The sequence below is a fragment of the Homo sapiens genome, chromosome 11, assembly GCF_000001405.40.
Source record: "Homo sapiens chromosome 11, GRCh38.p14 Primary Assembly".
Classification (NCBI taxonomy): Eukaryota; Metazoa; Chordata; class Mammalia; order Primates; family Hominidae; genus Homo; species Homo sapiens.
This window is the reverse complement of record NC_000011.10, coordinates 45240080-45264132: the sequence shown is the minus strand read 5'-3', so window position 1 is coordinate 45264132 and position 24053 is coordinate 45240080. Positions and strand designations below refer to the sequence as shown.

Here is a 24053-nt window from a genome sequence, read left to right as displayed (position 1 = left end):
TGTTGTAATGCTCACACTCAATGTCTATATTTATCACAAATGAGTAAAAAAGTAACAACAACAAAAAGTAGTTCATCAACTGGTCCCTACACACAAACCCCACTTTTTGTAGCACCTGACTAGACCCTAGGGTCACATAAATATTGCCGACATTTGTCGAGGGTTGGCTGGGCTAGCCTCTGTCCTAAGAGCTCTGCGTGAGTTATCTTATCTAAGCCTCAATCCAACCCCAGGAGATAGATGCTATTGTTAGCATCCCCATTTTACAGATGAAGAAACTGGGCACAGAGAAGTTAATTAATCAGACCCAAGGTCACACAGCAAGTAATTGACAGAGCCCAGACTCCAACTAAGCTGTCTTGTTTTAGAGCCTGAATACCTGACCAGCAGGATATATTTCATTATATACACGTTAGTGTGCATAATCGCCAGTATTAGAGGCCAGAGCGACAGACTCTTGCAGGTCCCTTTGCCCTGGCCTCACTACCCCCTTGGCGGGGGCTTAGCTATACTATAGACCCCAGCAGCAGCAGTGGCCCATGGTTGGCATCATCTGAATACTGGATGCTCAACTGGATGCTTCTTCTCTGCCCTCCCCTTTTTTAAAGTTCAAGTTTAAGGAGCAAAGATGACCTCTTTTTCAGCTGGATCTGCTTCCCCCACCTGCAACCTCCTGGGTGGTGCAGTGCTACTGTAAGAGGGATGTCCCAGCATGAAACCCCAAATTAATAAACAGCCCTAAGGTGAAAAATTAATCATGTCACAAAAGGGGTCACCTAGCATCTTTGGTAAGGTTAAACGTTTGTTTACAGATCATTAACTACATAATTAAGTTTTGGTTTTCCAACATAAGCCCCATAAGGGAAGGACAGCATCTGTCCTGTTTACTCCCATATTCTGAACACTTAGCATAGGACCTGGCCTGTAGTGGGGCTCAGTAAATATTTGTTCATTAATGAAGGTTCAGGTTCCACCCCCCGTGCCATCTGTCTCTGCCTGGATTATTACTGGAGGCAGAGCCGGAGGCGTCTGTGCTACCCTTCATGAGGAAGCAGGAGCCAGGGAATGGTGGGCAGGGCCTGGGAGGAGAGAGGACAAGCACAGGGGCATTACTGAGTCACTGCCACTTGGCATCCAGGGTGACTGCTGGATTTCCAGGGGTCATCTTCCAAAAGGCGACTGAAGGCACTTCTGGGAATAGTGAGGAGGAGGAAGGAGAATTCATTGCCTGTCTTCCTGCTCACAGGGCTCGAGTTCCTCCCATGGAGATGTTTGGGGTTTTTTCTCTCTTTTTTTTTATTATGGTAAAAGAACATAACATAAAATTTACCATCTTCACCATTTTTAAGTGTACAGTTCAATTTGTGTGTGTGTGTGTGTGTGTGTGTGTGTGTGTGTGTGTGTGTGTGTGATAGGATCTCCCTCTTTGCCCAGGCTGGAGGGCAACAGTGCAATCTCGGCTCACTACAGCCTTCACCTCCCGGGTTCAAGTGATCCTCCCACCTCGGCCGCCTGAGTAGCTGGGACTACAGGCGTGCACTACCATACCCAAATAATTTTTGTATTTTTTGTAGAAATGGGGTCTCACTATGTTGTCCATGCTTGTCTCTATCTCCTGGGCTCAAGCCATCCTTCTGCTTCAGCCTCCCAAAGTACTGAGAGTACAGGCATGAGCCACCGCGCCCAGCCTCAGTTCAGTGGTATTAATTCATTCAGGATGTTGTACAAACATCACCACCATCCATCTCCATAACACTTTTTGTGCTGTAAAACTAAAAATCTATACCCATTGAATAATAACTTCCCATTTTCCCCTGCCCCAGCCTCTGGCATCCACCATTCTACTTTCTGTCTCTATGATTTTGAGGACTCTAAGTATTTCATTTGAGTGGAATCATACAATATGTGTCTTTTTGTGACTGGTTGATTTCACTTGGCATCATGTCCTCAAGGATCATCCATGTTGTAGCCTGTGTCAGAACATTCCTTCTTTCTATGGCAGAATAATACTCCGTTATATAGATATACCACATTTTGTTTATTTATTCATCTGTTCATAGATATTTGGATTGCTTCACCTTTTAGTGATTGTGAATAATGCTGCAATGAACATGGGTGTAAATATCTTCAAAGACCCTGCTTTCGAATATTTTGAGTGTATACCCAGAAGTGGAATTGCTGGATCATACAGCAATTTTATTCTTTTTTTTTTTTTTTGAGACAAGGTCTTGCTCTGTCACCTAGGCTGGAGTGCAGTGGCATGATCTTGGCTCACTGCAACCTTCGCCTCCCGGGTTCAAGCGATTCTCCTGCCTCAGCCTCCCAAGTAGCTGTGATACAGGTGTGCACCACAAAGCCCGGGCTGATTTTTGTATTTTTGGTAGAGATGGGGTTTTGCCATGTTGGCCAGGCTGGTCTGGAACTCCTGACCTCAAGTAAGTCACCTGATTTGGCCTCCCAAAGTGCTGGGATTATAGGCATGAGTCACCGTGGCTGGCTATTTTTCTTTCCTTTTGTTTTCTTTTCTTTTTTTTTTTAGACGGAGTCTCGCTCTACACCCAGGCTGGAGTGCAGTGGCGCGATCTCAGCTCACTGCAACCTCCGCCTTCTGGGTTCACGCCATTCTTCTGCCTTAGCCTCCCAAGTAGCTGGGATTACAGGCGCCTGCCACCATGTCCAGCTAATTTTTGTGTGTGTGTGTTTTTAGTAGAGACGGGGTTTCACCGTGTTAGCCAGGATGGTCTCGATCTCCTGACCTAGTGATCTACCCGCCTCAGCTTCCCAAAGTGCTGGGATTACAGGCTATTTTTCATTTTTTAAGAAAATACTATACTGTTTTCCACAGCAGTGATACATTTTACATTCCCACCAGCAGTGCACAGAATTCCGATTTCTTCACATCCTCACCAATGTTTGTTATTTTCTGTTTTGTTGATAGTAGCCATCCTAATGGGTGTGAGGTGGTATCTCACTGTAGTTTTAATGGCATTTCTCTGGTGATTAGTGATGATGAGCATCTTTTCATGTGCTTATTGGCCATTTGCATATCTTCTTTGGAGAAGTGTCTATTTAAATCCTTTGCTCATTTTGAATCAGGTTGTTTGGGTTTTTGTTGCTGAGTTCCCCTATGGAGCTTTAACTCTCTGCACATCTGGGTTGCTTCTGAGTGGACAGAGTGTCCCTGGTGTCTCATAACTCAGCAGGCATGGAGAAGTCCCAGGGCAGAAGGCAAGAGGGGCATGGCTTGAGCCCAGTGTGAGGACCTGTGTTGCTGTGCCCATGGACAGCTGGTTGGACACAGTGGGGGGAGCAAGCAGCCAAAGGTCCCAGGGACAGGTGAGGCGGAGAATCTAAGGAGGCATTTGAGGGGTCTGATGCACATCTGAGGGTGTGATTCTTCTATCCAGATGTGCATGCAATGCCAAGAACAGCTGTGCACCCATCCTCTAATTGTTGAATGCCTGTCTCCACTGGAAATCTTCCCTCATTCATCCTGCAGATATACTTCCCAGGCTCTATTCCTGGGCTTCAAGGGACACGTAGACAGAGAATATCTGATTCTAAGTCCTGTCCCTCCTGCACCCATGGTGGAAGGCTGGAGCAAGGTCTCTCTCTAGGGCCCTGCTACCCTGAGCACCTCCTTCCCCCAGACATTCTTGTTCTTCACCTAGAACCCTCTCCCAGGCTCCCTCTCTCAACCCCTGAACCTATTTTCTGTTTCTCTGGCACTGAAGTTTCAGCTATTTAAGTGCAAATATAGATGCATTTGAAAGATGTGATGGAACCAGGTTTGAAATGCAATAAATAAGATTGCACAAGAGAAGGAGATAGGTAATCAGCTGCTGCTTTTGCTCCTTGAAAAGACTCATGTAGCTGTCATCAGACTCTGCTCTTGGCCTGGGCAAAGGCTGTAAGTCATTCCCAGCTAAAGCCAGCCATTTGCCACACAGGATAAAGTGGGATAAGAATAAACAGCAAATGAGGATGCCTTGGGCTGGATGCAGAGATTCAAGAGGGTTTCTTTCTACCCTAGGCCCAGTTTCTCTACACCAGGGTCATGATCTCCTGTGATGCTTGAAAAAGGCAATGCATCAGTTTGGGATGCTCTTGGCTGCAAGGCACAAAAATCCCAATTCAAACTGGCTTAAACAATAAGAACAGTACTACTCACGTAACTTGAAATGCAGAAGCAAGACAGATTGCTGGATTGGTTGGCTGAGCAGCTTAATGACATTGCCATCAAGGACACAGGTTCTTTCTGTCTCTCCACTCTGCTGCCCCAAGGCTGACTCACCTTGCAGTCACAAGGCAGGGCCACCCGCTTCCTGTCCAGGGAGGAGGGGACTTCTACTACTGTGGAATCCAAGTCCCTCCCTTCCATCTGGGTTGGTTTCCCCAGGACTGGTGCCAACCCCTGGGAATCAGTCACCAAGATAATGCCAAGAAATGGAAGGATCTGACCTCTTCCTGGGAGCTGGGGATGGGATGGAACCTAGACAACCTGGTGTTGTGTAGGGCGGGTAGATGGGAGAGGGAATGGATATTGGTAGACAACCAAGAAATGCCCAATCTTTTGCTCTAGGGGTGCATTTTAAGCTCTGGTAACAAGCTCCTGAGGTTATCAGGGACATACAAATTGAGATCCACTGAGGAGGGAGGAAGGCAGAGCCAGAGTGTCAAGACTTGAGGCAACACAGAGTGAACTTCATTCAGAGCTGAGCCCAGTGATTATTTCCCCCTTGAAAATGCAAATTCATCCAAATTGCATCAAACTGGGAATGAAGCCCAGCCCTTTTCTCAGACGATTGAATTGGGATGAAACCAAATATAAACACAAAAATGTTTCCCAGACCACCCAAACAGTCTTAGTTCTGGTCCCAACCAAGTGACAGTAGAGGGTGACTTTAAGTCAGGTGTGTGCTGAGGCCCAGCAGCCTCTGGGAACGCTTTTGTGCCGATGAATGGGAGGGAGTGGCAGTGGGTGGGCCCCTGAGATGCTGTGATTGCCATTTAGAATCCAGTGGCAAGACCGACAGGGATTTTGCAGGGGGCAAGGGGGTGGTGTTGAGAAGCAGCTGCAGGGCAATGGAAATGACAAGAAATTTGAAGTGAAAACATCTGGAGGCTGGATGATACATACCACTTGTCAGTTGTATGATCGTGAGCTTCCCTGAGCCTCAGTTTCCTCATTGTGAAACAGTAGGATGAAGGTAATACAGAGTTATATGAGATATTGAAGGTGGAGGTGACTTTGTGTAGGGTAGAAAGACGGGGACATTAGTCATCGCTCTGTGTGTCTCCTCCAAGGACCCTGAGCATCTGCTGTCAGAAGCACAGACTTTTACTCCCCCAAGCCCGGTCTTCGCCTCTGCCTTCCAAATCCCCCTCTCTTTCAAGGTCTCAGTCATGCCCTGGCTCCTCCCTGAAGGCCAGCTCGGCCTCCCAGGCACCCCTGATTGTGCCCTGCATGTACTGTGCACTGGCCATCATGTGTTATTTACACATACTGCCTCCCGTCTGCTTCTGTATTGTGGTCCAGAGTGGCCAAATATACTTATTTATTTCACCTGTTTGTGATCATCCCTAACTCACCTATACCTGAAAATAAAGCAATGGTGTCTCTCATCTCTTTGCAGCCTAAAAAAGCAACTCAGAATGTGGAGTGGGATAGCCTGCAAATCACTTGTCACTTAAGGTGACGGCCCAGAGAGGTGAAATGACCTGCCCAAAGTGACCCAGCTCCAGCGGCAGGGTTGGTACTGGAAGCCAGCCTCCTTGATGCCAGTGACACTCTCAGTGGGGGTGGAGGTGCAAAGGGGACCTGATTTTGTAAATCATACATGTCCCTCCCAGGGTGACTGGTTGCTGTGTGTAACAAGATAATGATAAATGTTTTTGATGGGGACTGCTGTGCTGGGGAAAGATTTGGAGGCAGGAAAAATGTCGAAAGCCATGGGGGCAGTGGGCTTTGGGCCAGGCTGATCTAGGCTTACTCTGCTGCTGCCCTCACCAGCTGCATGATTCCAAGTGACTTCACTCCACCGAAGTCAGAAATGCTTTTAGAGCCTATGCGTGCCAGGCACATTCAGTGGTGATCAGGCTAGAATCAGGTCCTCGCTTGGGTTACCTTATAATCTACTGTGCAGTGTTTCTGAGAGAAGAACTGAGGGTTTCTTATCTCTCCGAGCCTCAGTTTCCTTATCTGTACAAGAGGGGTAAGCTCTACCTTTTAGGGAAGTTCAGAAGAAAACACTTGGAAATGCAGGGGCAGGAAGTGGTTGTCCAAGAGGTCCCCGAGAGTCCGGCCCCTGCTTCCTGCCCCTTTGGGCCCTGCTGCAGCTTCTTATCCACATCCCCTCTGTTTGTCCAATGGATGAAACTAATTAAGGAATGCCCCTGTCACCTAGGTCCGGTCTCCTTCAGGAATGGTTGGGGACAGAGTCTCAACCAGGGCAGAATGTCCAGGATTCATCCTGGGATAATTAAATAAAGAGGGTACAAAAATTAGAAACACAACTTTTTGAAATAGTGTAAACTGTTAACTGCCTCTCCTGCCAGACCACGTCCACTCCCTCCCCTACACAGTGCAGGATCACTGCTGCCACTGGGTAGGGCAGCCTGAGTCCTGCTGCCAGCCATCTGCACCCACTACTCGCTTCAGCCATGGAGATGGGAGGGCCAGGAGGGCTAGCATGGAGGGCAGGAGGTTTCTTGGGAGACTCAGTCATAGACCTCAGTCTTCAGATCCGCCTGTCTTAACCTGAGGGCTTTTTTATGGGCTGCCCACCCAGAGTGCCAGCAGTTTAAGCTCTAGACCTGGCCTTCAATCCTGAGGACCAGGAAGGCTCCTATTGCTACCTGTCATACAACTTTGAGTCTCTCAAATAGGAGGGAAAGACAGAAGATCCCTGTCAATGTCTCTGTAGATGCTGTGTGAGGAGCCCCATATACTTAAGGGTTGACAAGCAGGTGGGTCTTTTTGAAAAGAAAGATTCCCTTTCGTTCCAAGCGAAAAGGGCCTAGCCTAGAGCACACAATTGGGCAAGTGGTACACAGGCTACATTTTGGCTTCTACTCTGTCCTCATCCAGAGATTTTTGTGCAGTGCACAAACCATTCAATATGGCAGCCCTAGTCACAGGTATTGATTGCATGCTCCCTGTGAGCTGACACCATGCTAGGCACAAGGGACACAGCAACTTGATGCCCAGTGACACTCTTACTGGGGGTGGAGGTGCAAAGGGAAATTGATTTTGCAAGTCATACATGTCTCTCCTAGGGTGACTAGTTGCTGTGTGTAATAAGATGATAAATATTTCCGATGGGGACTGCTCTGCTGGGGAAAGATTTGAAGGCAGGACAAACATCGAGAGCCATAGGGGCAGTGGGCTTTGGACCAGGCTAATCTAGGCAGGAGCAAGACAAGACATAATTCCTGTGCTCATAGATCTCACATGCTAGTGGGAGAGTCTTAATACAAACAGGCCAGCCTATGACCAAAACAATATAGGGTGAGATTGATGCTGTGAAGCAAAGAGTGGGATGTGGTGATAGGGAGGGACAGGCTTGGGGGAGGGATTTAATTTAGATTGTAAGGTTAGAGATGGACTCCTTGGTTCAGACTTCAGGTGTGAGATGGAGCCAGCCATGCAAAAACAGGTGGAGGTAGGGGTGGACAGTTTGGGAGGAAAAGTTAGGGGCTGGAAGCTGGACCAAGGAAAGAGCCCAAGCTGTTTGAGAAGCAGGGAGCTCAGTGACTGGAGATGAGCAAAGGAAGGATTGGGGGCGATATCAGAGAGATGAGCAGGATCAAGCTAGGCAAGCTGCAAGGAGTCTGGATTTTGTGTGGTGGGAGCCACTGGCATTTCTGAGCCATTAGGTGGAGAAGAGGAGGGAGGAAGGGAGAAGGGAGAAGGAAGAGGCAAGGGGAGCAGATGAGAGCAGCAGAGTGGGGACCACCTGCAGCAGGTCCAGGCAATATCCATGGGCGCAGCCATAGGATGGATGGGCCGATGGATGGAGGAGGTATGGATGAACAAGGCCCACATCTCAGTGGATTGTGGATTTGAGTGGGTTTGGAGATGATGTTAGACCTTCCTAGGTTGTGCTCTTCAGAGCAGAATGAAACCACAACTCTCCCTCTGCATCCTACAACAGGTCAGTTCACCGTTTCTCCCTTCCATGGGGGGAAACAGACAAGAGGGCTCCTTTGTGGACTAATCAGAGTAATTTGTGTTTGCAGTTCAATGTTAAAAAGTCCACGGAACCTGTTCAGCCCCGTGCCCTCCTCAAGTTCCCAGACATCTATGGACCCAGGCCAGCTGTGACGGCTCCAGAGGTCATCAACTATGCAGACTATTCACTGAGGTCTACGGAGGAGCCCACTGCACCTGCCAGCCCCCAACCCCCGAATGACAGTCGCCTCAAGAGGCAGGTCACAGAGGAGCTGTTCATCCTCCCTCAGAATGGTAGGGGTCTCCTGCCCCCTGCACTTCCATGGGCAGCACTCCAGTGGGGCTTGTCAATGTCTCTGTAGATGCTGTGTGTGGCCTGATGAGGAGGCCGAGTGCCCCGGCATTTGACGCTGGCCAAGCAGATGGGCACTGGGCCTCAGAATTATGGTCCTTTCTTCCTGACAACATGTTGCCATACCACTTCTCCCCCAGACCGCCAACTTTCCACTGGAAAATGGAGTCCCTTTCTAGTCATATGTGTGCAACTATGAGAGAGGATAAAGAGCCATGGTTAAAACCATGGGCTTCAGAGTCAAGGGTTTAATTTGCTGCCCTTTCATACACTTATTGTGTGGCATGGGTCATGCTGTAACTCCATGAACCTCGGTTTCTTCATCTATAAAATGAGACTAGACTATTATCTGTCTGGTAGGGGAGTTGTAAAGTGTAGATAAAATAACACACATAGAATGCTTAATTCAGAGCCTGGCACAAAGGAGGTAACAAAAAACATATTGGGTTTTTTGTTGTTTTTTTGAGATAAGGTCCCAGGCACATTTTTTTTGAGATGGGGTCTTGCTCTGTCTCCCAGGCTGGAGTTCAGTGGCATGATCGTGGGCCACTGCAGCCTCAATCTCCCAGGCTCCAGTGATCCTCTCACCTCGGCCTCCTGAGTACCTAGGACTACAGGTGCATGCCACCATGCCCAGATAATTTTTGCTTATTTTTTGTAGACATGAGATCTCACTATGTGGCCCAGGCTGGTCTCAAATTCCTGGGCTCAAGTGGTCTTCTTGCCTTGGCCTCTCGAAGTGCTGGGGTTACAGGCATGAGCCACCATGCCCCGTCGAAACATATTGTTATTATTTCTACTCTCCTTTTCATCAGCATCCACATCAAGAGTGCAGCACCTTTAGGTGTACTATGCTGCTGCTGGGCACTGGGGAAGATATGGGAAGAAGAGACATGATCGTCCCTGACCCAAAGAATATGTAGGCGTTTTAGAAAGACAAAACATAAAGCAGGGAGAGTAGATTGTTGTGTAGTCTCTGTTTTGTTTTGTGTGGTTGATGAGGGAGCCAGTGGACACAGATGCAGCCTAATGGGCTGTGACATTGACCCCACCTGTTGTCTTGGTGTGGCCACTGTGATTCTGCACACAGCTGGGAAGACTTGGGTTTGGGTTCCTGGCATAGGTGATAGAGATGAGAAAGGTGTAATCAGGAAAGCAGAACCCCAGTGTGGGTGGCAGTGACGATTTCGACTTTCTTAACAGGTGTGGTGGAGGATGTCTGTGTCATGGAGACCTGGAACCCAGAGAAGGCTGCCAGTTGGAACCAGGCCCCCAAACTCCACTACTGCCTGGACTATGACTGTCAGAAGGCAGAATTGTTTGTGACTCGCCTGGAAGGTATGGCTCTTATTTGACTCTCGTGGGCTTCTGTGTGTCTATCTCCCCTGGAGAAGCTGTGCAGGCAGGATGGGATCATCTGCAGCTGGAGAGAGCACTGGATTAGGACTCTAACAACCAGACCCTGGAACACATGGAGCTTAGACACAAAGATTTCCCACACTCCCAACCCCAACAGTCCAAAGTGGGGATTCCTGGTTGACAAACGTTTTTTCTCCAAATGGTGATTCAAGGACCAGACTCCTTCCAGCTGTGGCTCCATAACCCCCCTCTCCTTGTCATTTGTATCCTTGCCATCTGTATCTGGCAGATGGAAGGAGAAAGAGAAGGAGAGGGCGTAATCATTCCTTAACAGCCTTTACCTGGACTTGGTGGACGTCACTTCCGCTTGCATCCCATTGGCCGTAGCTCAGTCACATGAGCACACTCAACTGCAAAGTGGGCTGGGAAATGTGGGCCGACAGGTGCCCCGGAAGGAAAGGCAATGAGTTTGGGGTGAAGAACTAGTCGTCTCTGCCATAGATGAATTTGAAATTGGACAGGGCTTTGTGCTGGACACACAGCATGTTCCGAATGGTCAGAAAAGTTTCTACAATCTAAGAGCCAAGCGGCCTGAGGGTGGCAGGATGTCCTTGGTTTCTCTGCCCTGACAATTCACTTTAAGGTCAGCAACTAAAGCTAAGACTTTGCAAAGGAATCAGGGCTAGCAATGGGGTCAGATAAATTGGAATTTTGTATATAATTCTATTTTCTGAGGCTTTTTCCTTGTATTATCTTTTAAGATTTTAAAGCACCTTCCTCCTATACTTTATTATGTTTGGTCTTCACACTAGCGCATTTTACAGATTAGGAAACTGAGGTCTGGCAAGTCATATGACTTGTCAAAGATCACTGCATCTAACTGGTGACAGAGCCAGGACTAAGCAGTCCCTTGAAGTTCAGTGGAAAGCTCTTGCTGTTAAGACACATAGCCTCAGTTCTTCATCTTCTCTTCTTGTGAAATGTCAGCTACCACTTTCCAAACGATCCCTGAAGAGCCAGTCAGAAAAGTACCCAAGGTGTACATTTCTGGGCAGAGCCACACATTGTGAAGCATTGAAAACACCAAGGTTCAGAACATAAAGCCACACTCACTCATGAGGTAAGAGCCAAGTGATTCTCATGGAAAATGGTTATGTGGTGACTATTTAAAGTTCAGAACAAATGGTTACATGTCAGCAGCACCACTAATAAAGGCCCCCAGCAGCAAGCCTTGGCACCTTGGCAAAATTTCAGAATCCGGAGTTCAGAGGGCTCCAGGAAATGCCAAGTCTTGTCCCTGCTCTCCAAGAAAGAGAATCGGCATGTGCTGAGGCCAGCCCCCTCAAATGATCTATTTCTAAATGTCTCACTGAAAGGCGATTCCCTGGTGCCCAGGGTGGTCAGCCTTTCTGACACCCAAGGTCACGTCGTTAAGCTGGATTCCACAGCCCTAAGCAAGGCGTGCTTCTGCCCCCTCCACTTGTCCTCAGAAAGTCCCACGCCTGTGTTGTTCTCCTTGCCTGCAGCTGTGACCAGCAACCACGACGGAGGCTGTGACTGCTACGTCCAAGGGAGTGTGGCCAATAGGACCGGCTCTGTGGAGGCTCAGACAGCCCTAAAGAAGCGGCAGCTGCACACCACCTGGGAGGAGGGCCTGGTGCTCCCCCTGGCGGAGGAGGAGCTCCCCACAGCCACCCTGACGCTGACCTTGAGGACCTGCGACCGCTTCTCCCGTCACAGCGTGGCCGGGGAGCTCCGCCTGGGCCTGGACGGGACATCTGTGCCTCTAGGGGCTGCCCAGTGGGGCGAGCTGAAGACTTCAGCGAAGGTAGGGTAACCCCTGGGTTAGAAAGGTAAAACCTGCCCGTGCAGCATGGGATGGCAGAACCTGGTGTCCTCCCAGCAACTCAGTCTTAGGGAACAAGCCTCAGAGACCTCCCTGGCTTGGGGCTGGAAGGGAGGTTGGAATCTTGAATGGGGCAGAGGGCTAGAGGAGACCCATAGCCCAGGATCTGGGATTCCTAGTGTCTGCTCCTAGTCTTGGCTCTAACTTGCCATGCAAAGACTCTCTCTGCCGTCATGGAAAATGCCATGCTGTGTGTATTACCTTTACTGCTATGAAGTACTGTCCCCATTTCAATCCAGTTATACTCTGTGTGCTCCTACGATGTGGCAGACACTGCAGGACACTCTACCTTCCTCCGTTTGTGTAGGTGAGCATGAAGGGTGGAGCCCCACCACTCAGGAGTGTACAGACTAGGGGACAAATTGGCACAGACAAATGATGACGATATTTGATGTGTTCCACCCTGAGCCATGTAAGAGAGACCTAACCAATGTGCTCTGATAAAGAATTCTAGAAGGCCCCGTGTGCTAGGCTCTGAAGGAGCAATCAGGGCTGGGGGCAGGCCCAGAGCCCGGTGGTCCATGCAATCCCCAGACTCAAGATGATTTCCCCATATCTGCTGTTGGGGGGCCACAAGTGGGAAAGAAGGGTCTTCTGAGATGCCACAGCCCTCAAGAGAGGGGACCCTTGGGGAGAAAATCATTGTTTCCCATGCGCCAGGACAGCAAGGGGATCTGGGAAGGTCAGGGCTACAAGATGGTATGTAGTTACTTAGGCCCCTGGGTCAAAGCTCATCTAAGGGCCTGCACTGTGGTTCCTTGAGGAAACCTTCTGGGTGACTAGTCTCTCAACCAGATTGGCAGTGCTATACTGATCTAAAGACTGTATAACCTGCATAGCCCCAAATAGGTGTTATTATATTAGCCCCTTTCCAGAAAATGTTTGACAACCCTCATGCTAAAGCAAAAAGCAAAATACTGATTAGGGCACTATTTTTTTTTTTTTTTTTTTTTTTTAGACAGAGTCTCGCTCTGTTGCCAGGCTGGAGTGCAGTGGCGCGATCTCGGCTCACTGCAACCTCTGCCTCCTGGGTTCAAGCGATTCTCGTGCCTCAGCCTCCTGAGTAGCTGGGATTACAGCCACACGCCACCACGCCCAGCTAATTTTTGTATTTTTAGTAGAGACAGGGTTTCACCATGTTGGCCAGGATGGTCTTGATCTCCTGACCTTGTGATCTACCCCACCTCAGCCTCCCAAAGTCCTGGGATTACAGGCATGAGTCACTGCACCCGGCCAAGGGTACTATTTTTTAATGCTCACCATCAGTTACTATGCTTAGGACTCTACCTGAGTGCTGCCACTCTCCAAATCAACCAGATGAGAGAGACACCATGACTATCCCTCTTACAGATGAGGAAACAGGGTCATAGCAGTTCAGGAATCCACACAGGGTCCCACAGCCAGGAAATGGCAGACCTTGAGGCCGGGTTGGTCTGACTCGAAATCCTGTGCTATCTCATTACCTGCCATGAAAGCCACCTGACAAATATGAGGTGTGACCAGCAGGCACCTTTCCTAATAGACACCCAGACTGCAGGAGGGAAGAGTACGTTTCACCCGCTGTCTGCTCCTCTTTTTGCTATGATTTCCTCCTTGCTCCATTTTTTCCTCTTTCCCAGGCTCAGAAAATTGTTAGAAAAATCACAGCCACTCTCAGATGGAACTCAGCTGTTCCAAAGCCCACTCTCTAATTAGTGTGTGATTTGGGACTTCTGTGGAATCACAGATGGGGATCCTGGGAGAAGGCATCAATACTTAGGATTATTAAACTAGTAAACTAGCTTTCTCTCGAGATGCAGAGACTCCCCTGCTGGGCTCTGAGACTTGGTACAGCCCCAAAGGGCAGAAATCCAGCCAATCTAGGCAGAAGTCTCAGGCACCTAGCAGCTTCTCTCACTGCCCTCTAGAAGAGCAGCCATCATTCACTCATTCATTCATTCTGCAAATACCTTGCCCAGTTTCTACCATGTGCCAGGCGCTGTGCCAAGAGCTGGGGACATAGCAACAGTAATTAAGATGAAGCCCTGACCTTGCAGCTCATCCATCCTAATAATTATCATACTTTCTGTAGCTGTTTCTGTTCTGCAAATATGTACTCACAACCACTTTGATCACTGACCTGTTTACTACAAATGTGAACAACCTCAGAGGGTGGCATGGAGTCAGAAGTAGGAGGTGACTTTCTGGGTGTATAGGGCAGGAGAAAGCTGGAAGTCCAGGCCAGGCAGCCCCTCGCCCCAGCTAGAGGGTGTGGGCTGATTTGAACAAGGTGAGTGGAGCCCTCAGTCATTGCAGCCCAGATGTTTTTCTTCTCTAGGCCAGATGGGTTAACAGACTTGCCCACGGTGCCCAGTTCTAGCTGGAAGATACTCAGCCAAAAGTGCCATGTGCATCAAGAGTGACTCACAGGGCAATCCACTCCAAGAGCAGTCTTTGATTATTATTATTATATTTTAAGTTCTAGGATACATGTGCAGAACGTGTAGGTTTGTTACATAGGTACACATGTGCCATGTTGGTTTGCTGCGCTCATCAACTAGTCATCTACATTAGGTATTTCTCCTAATGCTATCCCTCCCCCAGGCCCCCACCCCTGACATGCCCTGGTGTGTGATGTTCCCCTCCCTGTGTCCAAGTGATCTCATTGTTCAATTCCCACCTAAGAGTGAGAACATGTGGTGTTTGGTTTTCAGTTCCTGTATTAGTTTGCTGAGAATGATAGTTTCCAGCTTCATCCATATCCCTGCAAAGGACATGATCTCATTCCTTTTTTATGGCTGCATAGTATTCCGTGCTGTATATGGGCCACATATTCTTTATTCAGTCTATCATTGATGGACATTTGGGTTGGTTCCAAGTCTGCTATTGTGAATAGTGCTGCAATAAACATATGTGTGTATGTGTCTTTATAGTAGCATGATTTATAATCCTTTGGGTATATACCCAGTAATGGGATGGCTGGGTCAAATGGTATTTCTAGTTCTAGATCCTTGAGGAATTGCCACACTGTCTTCCACAATGGTTGAACTAGTTTACAGTCCCACCAACAGTGTAAAAGCATTCCTTTTTCTCCACATCCTCTCCAGCTTCTGTTGTTTCCTGACTTTAATGATCGCCATTCTAACTGGCGTGAGATGGTATCTCATTGTGGTTTTGATTTGCATTTCTCTGATAAGCAGTGATGATGAGCATTTTTTCATATGTCTGTTGGCTGCATAAATGTCTTCTTTTGAGAAGTGTCTGTTCATATCCTTTGCCCACTTTTTGATGGGGCTGTTTGTTTTTTTTCTTGTAAATTTGTTTAATTTCTTTGTAGATTCTGGATATTAGCCTCCAAGGGTAGTCTTGCATGGTTCACTAAGACCTGAGAGAAAGAGAGGGGCAGGGAAAACCAGGGAAAGGAAGAAGAAAGAAAGGATTACTTTAGTCTGCAGGTACTTTCAGCAGCAGTGCCCAGGGAGCAGGTGTTGAAATTGTCTGGCTATGGTGCAGCCGGCTAGGCTAGTTAGACCTCACCCTATGCAAAAGTGAAAAGCCCTGCAGAGGCTGACAGGTGCTGACTCCTCTCACCTGGTCTGTAGGTAGCAGAGGACTCAAGTCTGGTAACCCTGTGGCTATAGCCCGGGCTACCTGTGGCCCTCTAATAATCAGTGATGAGCCAGGAGGCTGGTGCCCATCCCAACTCTGCAGTCACCTCTCTGGGTGCCTGGTACAAGTCCCTGGGCCTCAGTTCCTTCACTGTGAAATGAGAGGGTTAGGGAGGGCTGTCAACTGAGAAAGCTGGAGAGCCATGGATTCAGGACTTAAGTTTTGCTGTCAGACTGGACCTCCTTTCCAAGGCTTGGTTTTGCCACTTCCTGCCTACATGACCTCTGGCAATGATGTTCCCTTTCTGAATCTGAGGTTCTTGTGCTTAAAATGGGAACAAAATCAGTAGCCCTCTTGAGGTTGTCATCAAGATTATAAATGGAATGTGTTACCCTTTTTTCACAAATGTTTATTGTGTGCCCACTGTGTCCCAGGTGCTGGAGTTGCATAGTGTGAATGGAGGCCACAGTGGAGCTTACTTTCTAGTGGGATGGACAATGTAATTGCACTTCACACACAGTGTTTAATAAATGTTAGCTGCTACCATTCATTTCATTGCCAAGATCCTTTGAGGCTCCCAAATCATTTCTTCATATGACCAGTCCCTCAAGACTTGTGGAATCATTGGGGTCATGCAGAAATGGAGGCTTAGAAAAGTTAAGTAACTTACCCAAGGTCATAGAGGTAGTAAATGGTAGGATTGGAACTCAGACACAGTTAATCTGGTTTAGAGTCTATGCTCTCAGCATTACTCTTATTCTGGGTTATTAATAATTGTTGTTTTGACTGTTGTCATTAGAATTGTAATTTATGACCTTTACTAAGAACTTGCTATATGCATTTTCTCACTTCATCCTCTGATATCTATATTTCTTCATAGCATTTAATGCTGCCCGATGTTATATATTTAATCACTTCCTTTCTGTCTTCCCCATGTGACTGCAAGCTTCTTTGAGACTGATTCTGTTTAGTTCATGGCTTTAATTATGGCATCTGGAATATAGTAGGTGCATTGCATATGCTTGCTGAATGAATGAATCCACTAGAGGCCACAGTGAGCAAAGAAAAACCGATTTCAACCCTTCTGAGTGCCTGGTCCAGGATGGATGAACAGACATCCTGGGTGTGACAGAAGGGGAGGAAGCTTAGGGAGTCACGGTGGCTGTTAGCCAGGGCTCCAGCCTGGTACCAGACCTCATTGAATTACCCTCATTGCACAGCTGGGAAAGAGGGACAAAGCTGGAGGGAAGGGCCACAGGACTGAAAGCTGTGACATCTGGAGGGACAAGCTTCCATGGGGCCTTCCCCCACTCCCACTCCCCACTCCATCTTGGCACAGCAGGCCACACATCTGCCTCTTCCTTGGGATTTCGAGGGAAGGGCATCTTCTTCCTGCTCAACAGAGGAGACTTCTGACCTTCAGCTGATCCCTGCCCACACACTCCCTTCTCTTTCCTGCCAGGTCTCCCCAGAGCTTGGATTGCAACCAAACACCCACCTCCTAGGAGGGGTCTTTCGGTCATTCTTGTCCCTTGACGGATTTGTTGAAATTCCAAATAAACTCCTGTACGAATTTCAGGAGAGTTACTCTAAAGCTGCGTGCAGGGATAGATGTGTTTGTTTGGATGCCTCACAGGGGCATCAGCACCTCCTTCAAGGTGTGGTTATTGCCAGTTGCCTCTGGGCATGATCTACCATCATACACCCCAGCACTTCATTGACATTACTTGTCATTCTGTTGATGAAGCAACCTCCTGGAGCTGGAAAGAACTATCTTTTCAAACATAGTAATGAATTACAATTCTCCCGCTGCCCCAGGAACCTGATGGGTCCATGCAGGGATTCTGAAACTGTTCTCTGAGGCCCTAGAGGACAGAGGTGTCCCAGGAGCTTGGGGGTGGCAGAAGGTGAAGGGTAATGGGGAATTCTGGCCTCCTCCCCGCTGCTGCATTCTGAGTAGCCTTTCTTTGTTCTGTTTTGTATGTTGGATTTGAGTATATGGTATATGAAAAATCACATTTTGAGGCAAACAAAGAAACTGCTATTGAAGCGCATGCCGCATGGAATTCCTCTGTGCCTTGCTCTCTTCTGCAAGGGTGGACACCCCAGCATTGACGGGTAAATGGTTTCAAGGATGCGTGTTGGATGCAAATCCAGCATGGTTCCAGCTTCAGCATTTGTTGATGGGTTGGAAGGCGTCCCCAGGTGAGACTCCCCTCCTGCATCTCCTTTTCTGTTTCAGGAGCCATCTGCAGGAGCTGGAGAGGTCCTACTATCCATCAGCTACCTCCCGGCTGCCAACCGCCTCCTGGTGGTGCTGATTAAAGCCAAGAACCTCCACTCTAACCAGTCCAAGGAGCTCCTGGGGAAGGGTGAGTGAGATGTGAGAGGATGGCCAAGGCCCCTCCAGCTACCGGGAGTGTGTGCTGAGGGAGGTGGTGCCTGGGAGGAAATGGTCACAGGTAAGCAGGGAGGTGGAATATGAGCACATCTACGGAGCCATGCTCAGCGGTGTTCTTCACCCTAAGTTCACAAATTGATTTTCGAGGACACACTCACTTCTATGAGTTCCCATCCATTTACTCTTGGATCAATCCCATCCATTAGGACCCCAGTGTGAGCTACCTGGGGTTCCCTACCTTGGAGATCCACTATGAGAACCATCAGCCCTAACCACAGAGCACAAGAAGCCAAGGGTCAGACTATAGCCGTGGAGTGAAGGGCCTGGGCTGTCGGGAAAACTTGGCCCAGCCCTTGTCACCCACACCTGGCTGGACCCACCTTTCAGGCAGATGTCAGGAAGGCCAGGTTATTCCCCTCCTGTCTGAACTCACCACCACTGCACTCCTGCCACCCACCCCAGTCTCTTCTCTCTTCTCAGCCTTTGCCAACTGCCACCCTCACACCAGCTGAGTGTGGGTGATGGCAGAAGGTGTGTGGGTACATGGGCTGAGGCCTGAGGCTTCAGGCGTCTGTGCCCCATATACCCAAATAAGCTTTTCTGCAACACCCTGGAAGCCTCAGTTTTTCCTTCTGGATACCCCAGCCCAGGTCCAGCATCTCGGAGACCAAAACAAGCTCTCCTATATGAGCAGGAAAGCATCCTCAGCTAGCCAGATAATACCTGGACTGGAAGCCACATGCGCCTAGCAAGATATAAATAAGTCTCTATTTATAGCAGGGTACAAATAAAGAATTGCCACTGCATTCTGAATTTCGAGCAAAAGACTTGGGGCTAATGGAATCAGAAGAGTTGGTCTTGCTGGCAGGTTCCTGAGTCAAAGGTCAAAGTTCAATGCTTTTATCTCATTCCCTTTAGACAATTCTTTGCTTCTTGCTCTCTTTTATAGCTCCTGTCAGGACAATTACAGTACAACACTTCGTCTCTCAACTCTCTCTGTAGAAATAACAAACTAACCTCCCAGAGGTGATAATTACAGCAATAAATACAAAGTAACAATTATTCTCACATTAGCTTTGGAAACATTGACTAAGTAATCCAGTCCAGCCTTGTGATGTGACATGAAAGCTCGCCTGGTGACCTGTTTGTGGATTTCCTTGGGGCCAGCTCTCTTGGTGCAGTGCCCTGGGTTTGGGGGAGCGTGCAGGAACAGGCAGTCTGCCTTCATCCCTCTTCCACATGAAGTTGGGGGTCTTCAAATAAAACTTTAAAAAGTACGGATGAGAAGAACTCAACCAACCAGCAGGGGATCTCCTATTTTGATAACAGACAAACATGCTTACACCAAGAATCAAGGGGATGAAGAGTTGGGAGCTGGCTTCATTTTTCTGGTCTGAGTTTAAAATCCAGCTGCAGGACCCCTGAGCTGTTGTCATGGACCTGGTTTGATGTGAGGATATGAAGTCATGTAGCAAAGGTGGTTCCCTCTTGGTACTCTAACATGCCCCAATCACAGGCCACCCAGTGGCCAGCCTTCTATATCATGGTATTGGCCGTTTCCTACACTTTAGTGTCAGTTCTATGGAGGCAAGAACTTCTGCTGCATCCCCACTTCTAGACCAGTGCCTGCCATAGGGTAGGCACTTAATATTTGTTGAATGAATGCATGGCCTAGTGGGGGAGTGGAGAATAATCCCCAATGCAAGGAAATGAAAGCATCCTGGATCGACTCCTAGAGTTATAGATTGTCCGGGTGGGATGCTTTCCTGCTGGTATAGCAGAGCCTTCTATGGTCACATAGACTTGGGACCTGTGCTGGGGTATCCAGAAGGAAAAACTGAGGCCTCTAAGATGTTTGGGTATATGGGGCACAGATGTCCGAACTCTTGAGCATCTTTCCAGCACCAGGAGGGAGCTTTGTCCTGGGCCCTGCCAGATCCCAGAAACTCACTCTTGTCCCTTCTCTCTGTCTCTTTTTCCCCTCTGCCCCTCCCCAGATGTCTCTGTCAAGGTGACCTTGAAGCACCAGGCTCGGAAGCTGAAGAAGAAGCAGACTAAACGAGCTAAGCACAAGATCAACCCCGTGTGGAACGAGATGATCATGTTTGAGCTGCCTGACGACCTGCTGCAGGCCTCCAGTGTGGAGCTGGAAGTGCTGGGCCAGGACGATTCAGGGCAGAGCTGTGCGCTTGGCCACTGCAGCCTGGGCCTGCACACCTCGGGCTCTGAGCGCAGCCACTGGGAGGAGATGCTCAAAAACCCTCGCCGGCAGATTGCCATGTGGCACCAGCTGCACCTGTAACCAGCTGCCCAGCTGCCTCCCTTCTTGGACAGCCCTGACCCGTCCTCTGCAACCTCCTTTCTGTGCCCCTTTCCTCATTCTGACACCCAGAAGACAGTGACAGATGTGTTTGCAAGGCTGGGATGGCTCTCTCATCATACTCTTGTTTCTTAGAAATAAGCAAGACAGAGCAGGAAATGGAATATGCGGGTCACACTGAGGAATGCATTTTGCTCATCTGTGTTATTGAAGGAGGTGCTTATTAAATACAGTTCCTATGCCTGTTTTATAGGTGGGGTTAGGCCAGATGCAGAGAAAGCTAAATGTGGGAATCATGGATGCAAAGAAGAATTTGGCTTTTTGAAAAACAAGCATTTCAAAAATGATGAAGGAAGTGAAAGTATCCTGGATCAACTCCTAGAGTTAGAGATTGCCCAGGTGGAAAGAAACCTTAGCCAGCGTTCAATCAAGCTCACCATGCAGGGCAGTCACCCGGCAGTTCTCAAACTTTAGCATGTGAAGAGTCACCAGCAGATTCCTGGGCTCGCCTGGAGACATTCCTAGTCGGTATTCCTGGTCGAAGCCCAGGAGCCTTCCTTTTTAACAAGCTGATGTAGAGGGTGGAGCACTGTATGTGGAGAAATTCCTTCTACAATATTCCACACAGGTTTTTGGCCACAGTCCTTGATGGAGTCCCAAAACCATGGTGCAGCCAGTTCCAATGCTGGACACCTCAACCATCAGGGTGAAATCTGGGGCCTCAGCTTTTTAATTTAATTATTTTAATTCTTAATACTTTAATTTGTGCATTTCATAAGCCCCCTGCTCTTGGACTGAATTTTGTGCTTTTTATTGAAGAATTTTATTGTTTTTATCTTAAAATCAGTTTCTATTATCCTTGGGGAGACCATCCCTAACAAAGTACAGGTGGGATCTCCTGTGAGTCATTGGCTGGGTTCTGATTGCTAGATGTCACACCCACCAGCATCACCAAAGTGACTCTGAGATAGACCGGTCCCTTCTCAGCGTTCCAGTCACTTCAGGAGGAATTTAGTTATTGACTTAGTCTATGACATCTGGCTACATGTAGGTAGAGAAGAAAGATAATTTTAAAAAGGAAATCAGGTCTTTTGCAACTGTGCCTCCCTCTGTCTGTTTTCACTTGAATGGGTAAATAACCAGCAGCTAGGTTTTGAATTCCTACCTTGTTATTCTAAACAGATGTCCACATTGTTAATTAAATCTAAATTATGAGCCTTGCTGAGTGGATACGGTACTTACACCTGAACCAGGATTCCTGGGTTCTGTTGTTGACATTGCCCTTCAGCACCTGTTTGGCCAGCTGTGTAAGATAGGACTAATGACTAGGAAGCCTACCCCAATGAATGATATACTAGATGAAATAGTGTTCAAAACCTGTAGGCACTCTCTGGCTAAAAACAAACTCTGAGGCCACCAGCAGATCATCTTTAAGCTAAGTTACTATTTTTCACCTTTTTTTTTAGACGGAGTTTTGCTCTTTGTTGCCCAGGCTGGAGTGCAGTGGCACGATCTCGGCTCACTGCAACCTCCGCCTCCCAAGTTCAAGCGATTCTCCTCTCTCAGCCTCCTGGGTAGCTGGGATTACAGGTGCCCACCAACATGCCTGGCTAATTTTTGTACTTTTAGTAGAGATGGGGTTTCACCATGTTGGCCAGGCTGGTCTTCAACTCCAGATCTCAGGTGATCTACCCTCCTCGGCCTCCCAAAGTACTGGGATTACAGGCCTGAGCCACCGCGCCCGGCCTATTTTTCACTTTAATTTGGCAGCTGAGAATGCCCAGAAAGTGCCAGAAGCATCGTGGCATTTCCAGAACCATGGATTCTGCCTTTGGACCCCTCTCTATTAATATTAAAACTCTGGGCCTTCAGATGTCACCCTAATCCACTTCCCTAAGACAGAATTTCTGGACAAGATGGGTAAGGGCTTCATTCCTTCAACAAGTCAAGTCATACTTGGCCTCTCCCTGAGAATCTGAGCAGGAGCCTTATAACCTGTGGTCATTATTTTTTCTTTCTGTACAGAAATAGAAAAGCATTAGAAATAACTTCTAACCATCCTCTGAAAAAACAGAAAAAATATCGAATCCCTCTTTCATGAGAAGTCTTTTGGATAATTGGAAACCTTCATCACTGAGGTTGGCCAGCCCCTGCCAAGTGTTGTGTAGGCAAAGCACTTGTTAGTGGCTTCCTATGAAATGTTTTAGAGATCTCTTCACCATACTGGTTTCTTCTCTTTGGTTGGTGTGGGTAAAAGAAAACAAAACATTTCCTATAAGCTGAAAGCTGACCAGCATTCTCTTCTTGGTAACATCTACTACTCCAATCTAGAAAATTTGGATTCTAGACCAAAAATCAGGAAACATGGCTCCTTATAAATCTGTGCAGCTGCCTTATAGTACCATCAAAGGAATTTCAGGTGGGCTGGGCGGGGCCCCGATCCCAGAATTATCAACTCCACCCATCATCATTTGGTCATGAAGCATCCTTTCATTCTTCTTCTTCTTTTTTTTGGGGGGGCGGGGCGGGGGAGGGATCTCAAAGTTTTAGTCTTCCAGAATCCAAATTAAAGGTTGCCCCTGATGGGGGCCAGGTTCCGCCACAGAACATCTTAGATGTCAGCCTTGACCTCACTTAGCAGGGATTACAGAAATGAGATACATTTTGAAGGAGAGTTGTCTGTTATGTTCACTGTATTCTAAGTGCCTGGGATAAAGCTGTCTCATGGGTGCTCCATATATATTCATATATATTTGTTGAGTGAATTAATGAATTAAGAGTGGCTGGCAGAGTAGGCAGAAAAAGACACTGCAAATGGCATAAAAATTAAAGTCCTAGCTGAGTTCTCAATGGTAAAGGCATCAGATGTCTTAGCAGTCAAGCTAGAAATTCATGACAATGAGTATTACTATTTGCCTAATGGCAACTCATTGCTCTCCATGTAAATGTAATCAACAGATGAAGAGAATATAATTGCTCTGCTTTTCCACTAAAACTCCATCTTAGTGAATTTTAAATTATCCAGAGATGTCAAACTGCCAAATAAAAATATTTCAGTAGTCTTTGCATCAGCTTACCTTGTACCAGAAACATTTCCAATTTACTATCAAATTATAGTAACTGAGCCTGTGTGAAGTATCTCATCATTTTCGAAAGGAACACCTTGTGTGATGCCAGTGAGCATTTCTAAAAAGGGTGTGAGGTAGAGGTAAAAATAAGGTGAGAGACCATTTCAGAATGCACTGTTGCTCAAAAAGGTGATCTGGTTCTTTCTTCAGAGATTTCTACGGGGATAGAAAATCGGGAGTCTGCCCTCATTAATCTGTGATTCCACCTCTTGCACCAAATCAATATCTATTTGTTGAGCACTTATTGATTAAGACCTTGCATATGTCTGTCCATTTTGATTTGAGATACAACTTTTTGTGTGGGTTGAATGACAAATCACTCCAAACAAAGCTGGGCACAGAGAATCAGCTAGGAGACCAGTTATTCAGGGTCCATTTCTCTTGGATGTAAAGGAGTCCTGGGTAAAATGTGGCTGTAACCTAAACCAACTAGTCCTTGTGATTTGTTTCTGCCCTCTGTGTTTCCTGTTGTCAAATGCTAAGTGTGTGTTTTGCAGTCATGAACTAAAGCACAAAAAGATGCATGAGACATTGTAGTCATATGTCTGGTGTGACACTTTGGAGCAAAAACCTTGCAGTGGTAAATAAAAAATTTCCAACAGGGTCAGCTGCCTGGTGTTTTCTTTTTTTCCGTTTTACCTAATATTTTGGCATATAAAATGCAGAAGAAATCATCTGATAAGCACTTATGAGCCACTGCCATGTTTAATAAAACTTGACAACTACAATTGAAGTACCCTCAGTGCCCTTTACTCAGAAGACCATGACCTTGGATTTGGGGTTTATCATCCCAGGCATTCCCTCATACTTTTATTACATGTCTCTG

The 24053-nt window shown here is 47.5% G+C and overlaps 1 protein-coding gene across 4 annotated transcripts in view, besides 1 other annotated feature; it reads left to right on the top strand.

The window, feature by feature from the left end:
- The window catches only part of SYT13 (synaptotagmin 13), a 46040-nt gene extending 22209 nt beyond the window's left edge, over positions 1-23831 (top strand). For 2 of the 4 annotated variants that reach the window (NM_020826.3, XM_047427339.1), the window contains exons 2-6: positions 8242-8467; positions 9729-9863; positions 11411-11712; positions 17621-17750; positions 19777-23831. In NM_020826.3, the coding sequence (NP_065877.1) occupies positions 8242-8467; positions 9729-9863; positions 11411-11712; positions 17621-17750; positions 19777-20081 (1098 nt within the window). In that variant the 3' untranslated portion in view covers positions 20082-23831. Of the gene's footprint in view, positions 1-5636; positions 5753-8241; positions 8468-9728; positions 9864-11410; positions 11713-17620; positions 17751-19776 lie in introns of those variants that run through there. The other 2 variants (NM_001247987.2, XM_047427338.1) reach the window with 2 other exon arrangements.
- Positions 20002-20502: an enhancer, noted in NCBI's record as "H3K4me1 hESC enhancer chr11:45265182-45265682 (GRCh37/hg19 assembly coordinates)". NCBI's record gives its function as "activates a minimal SCP1, AML or CMV promoter by ChIP-STARR-seq in naive H9 embryonic stem cells {active_cell/tissue: H9 hESC(naive)}" and the evidence as "EXISTENCE:reporter gene assay evidence [ECO:0000049][PMID:30033119]".
- Positions 23832-24053: the final 222 nt, after the last annotated feature.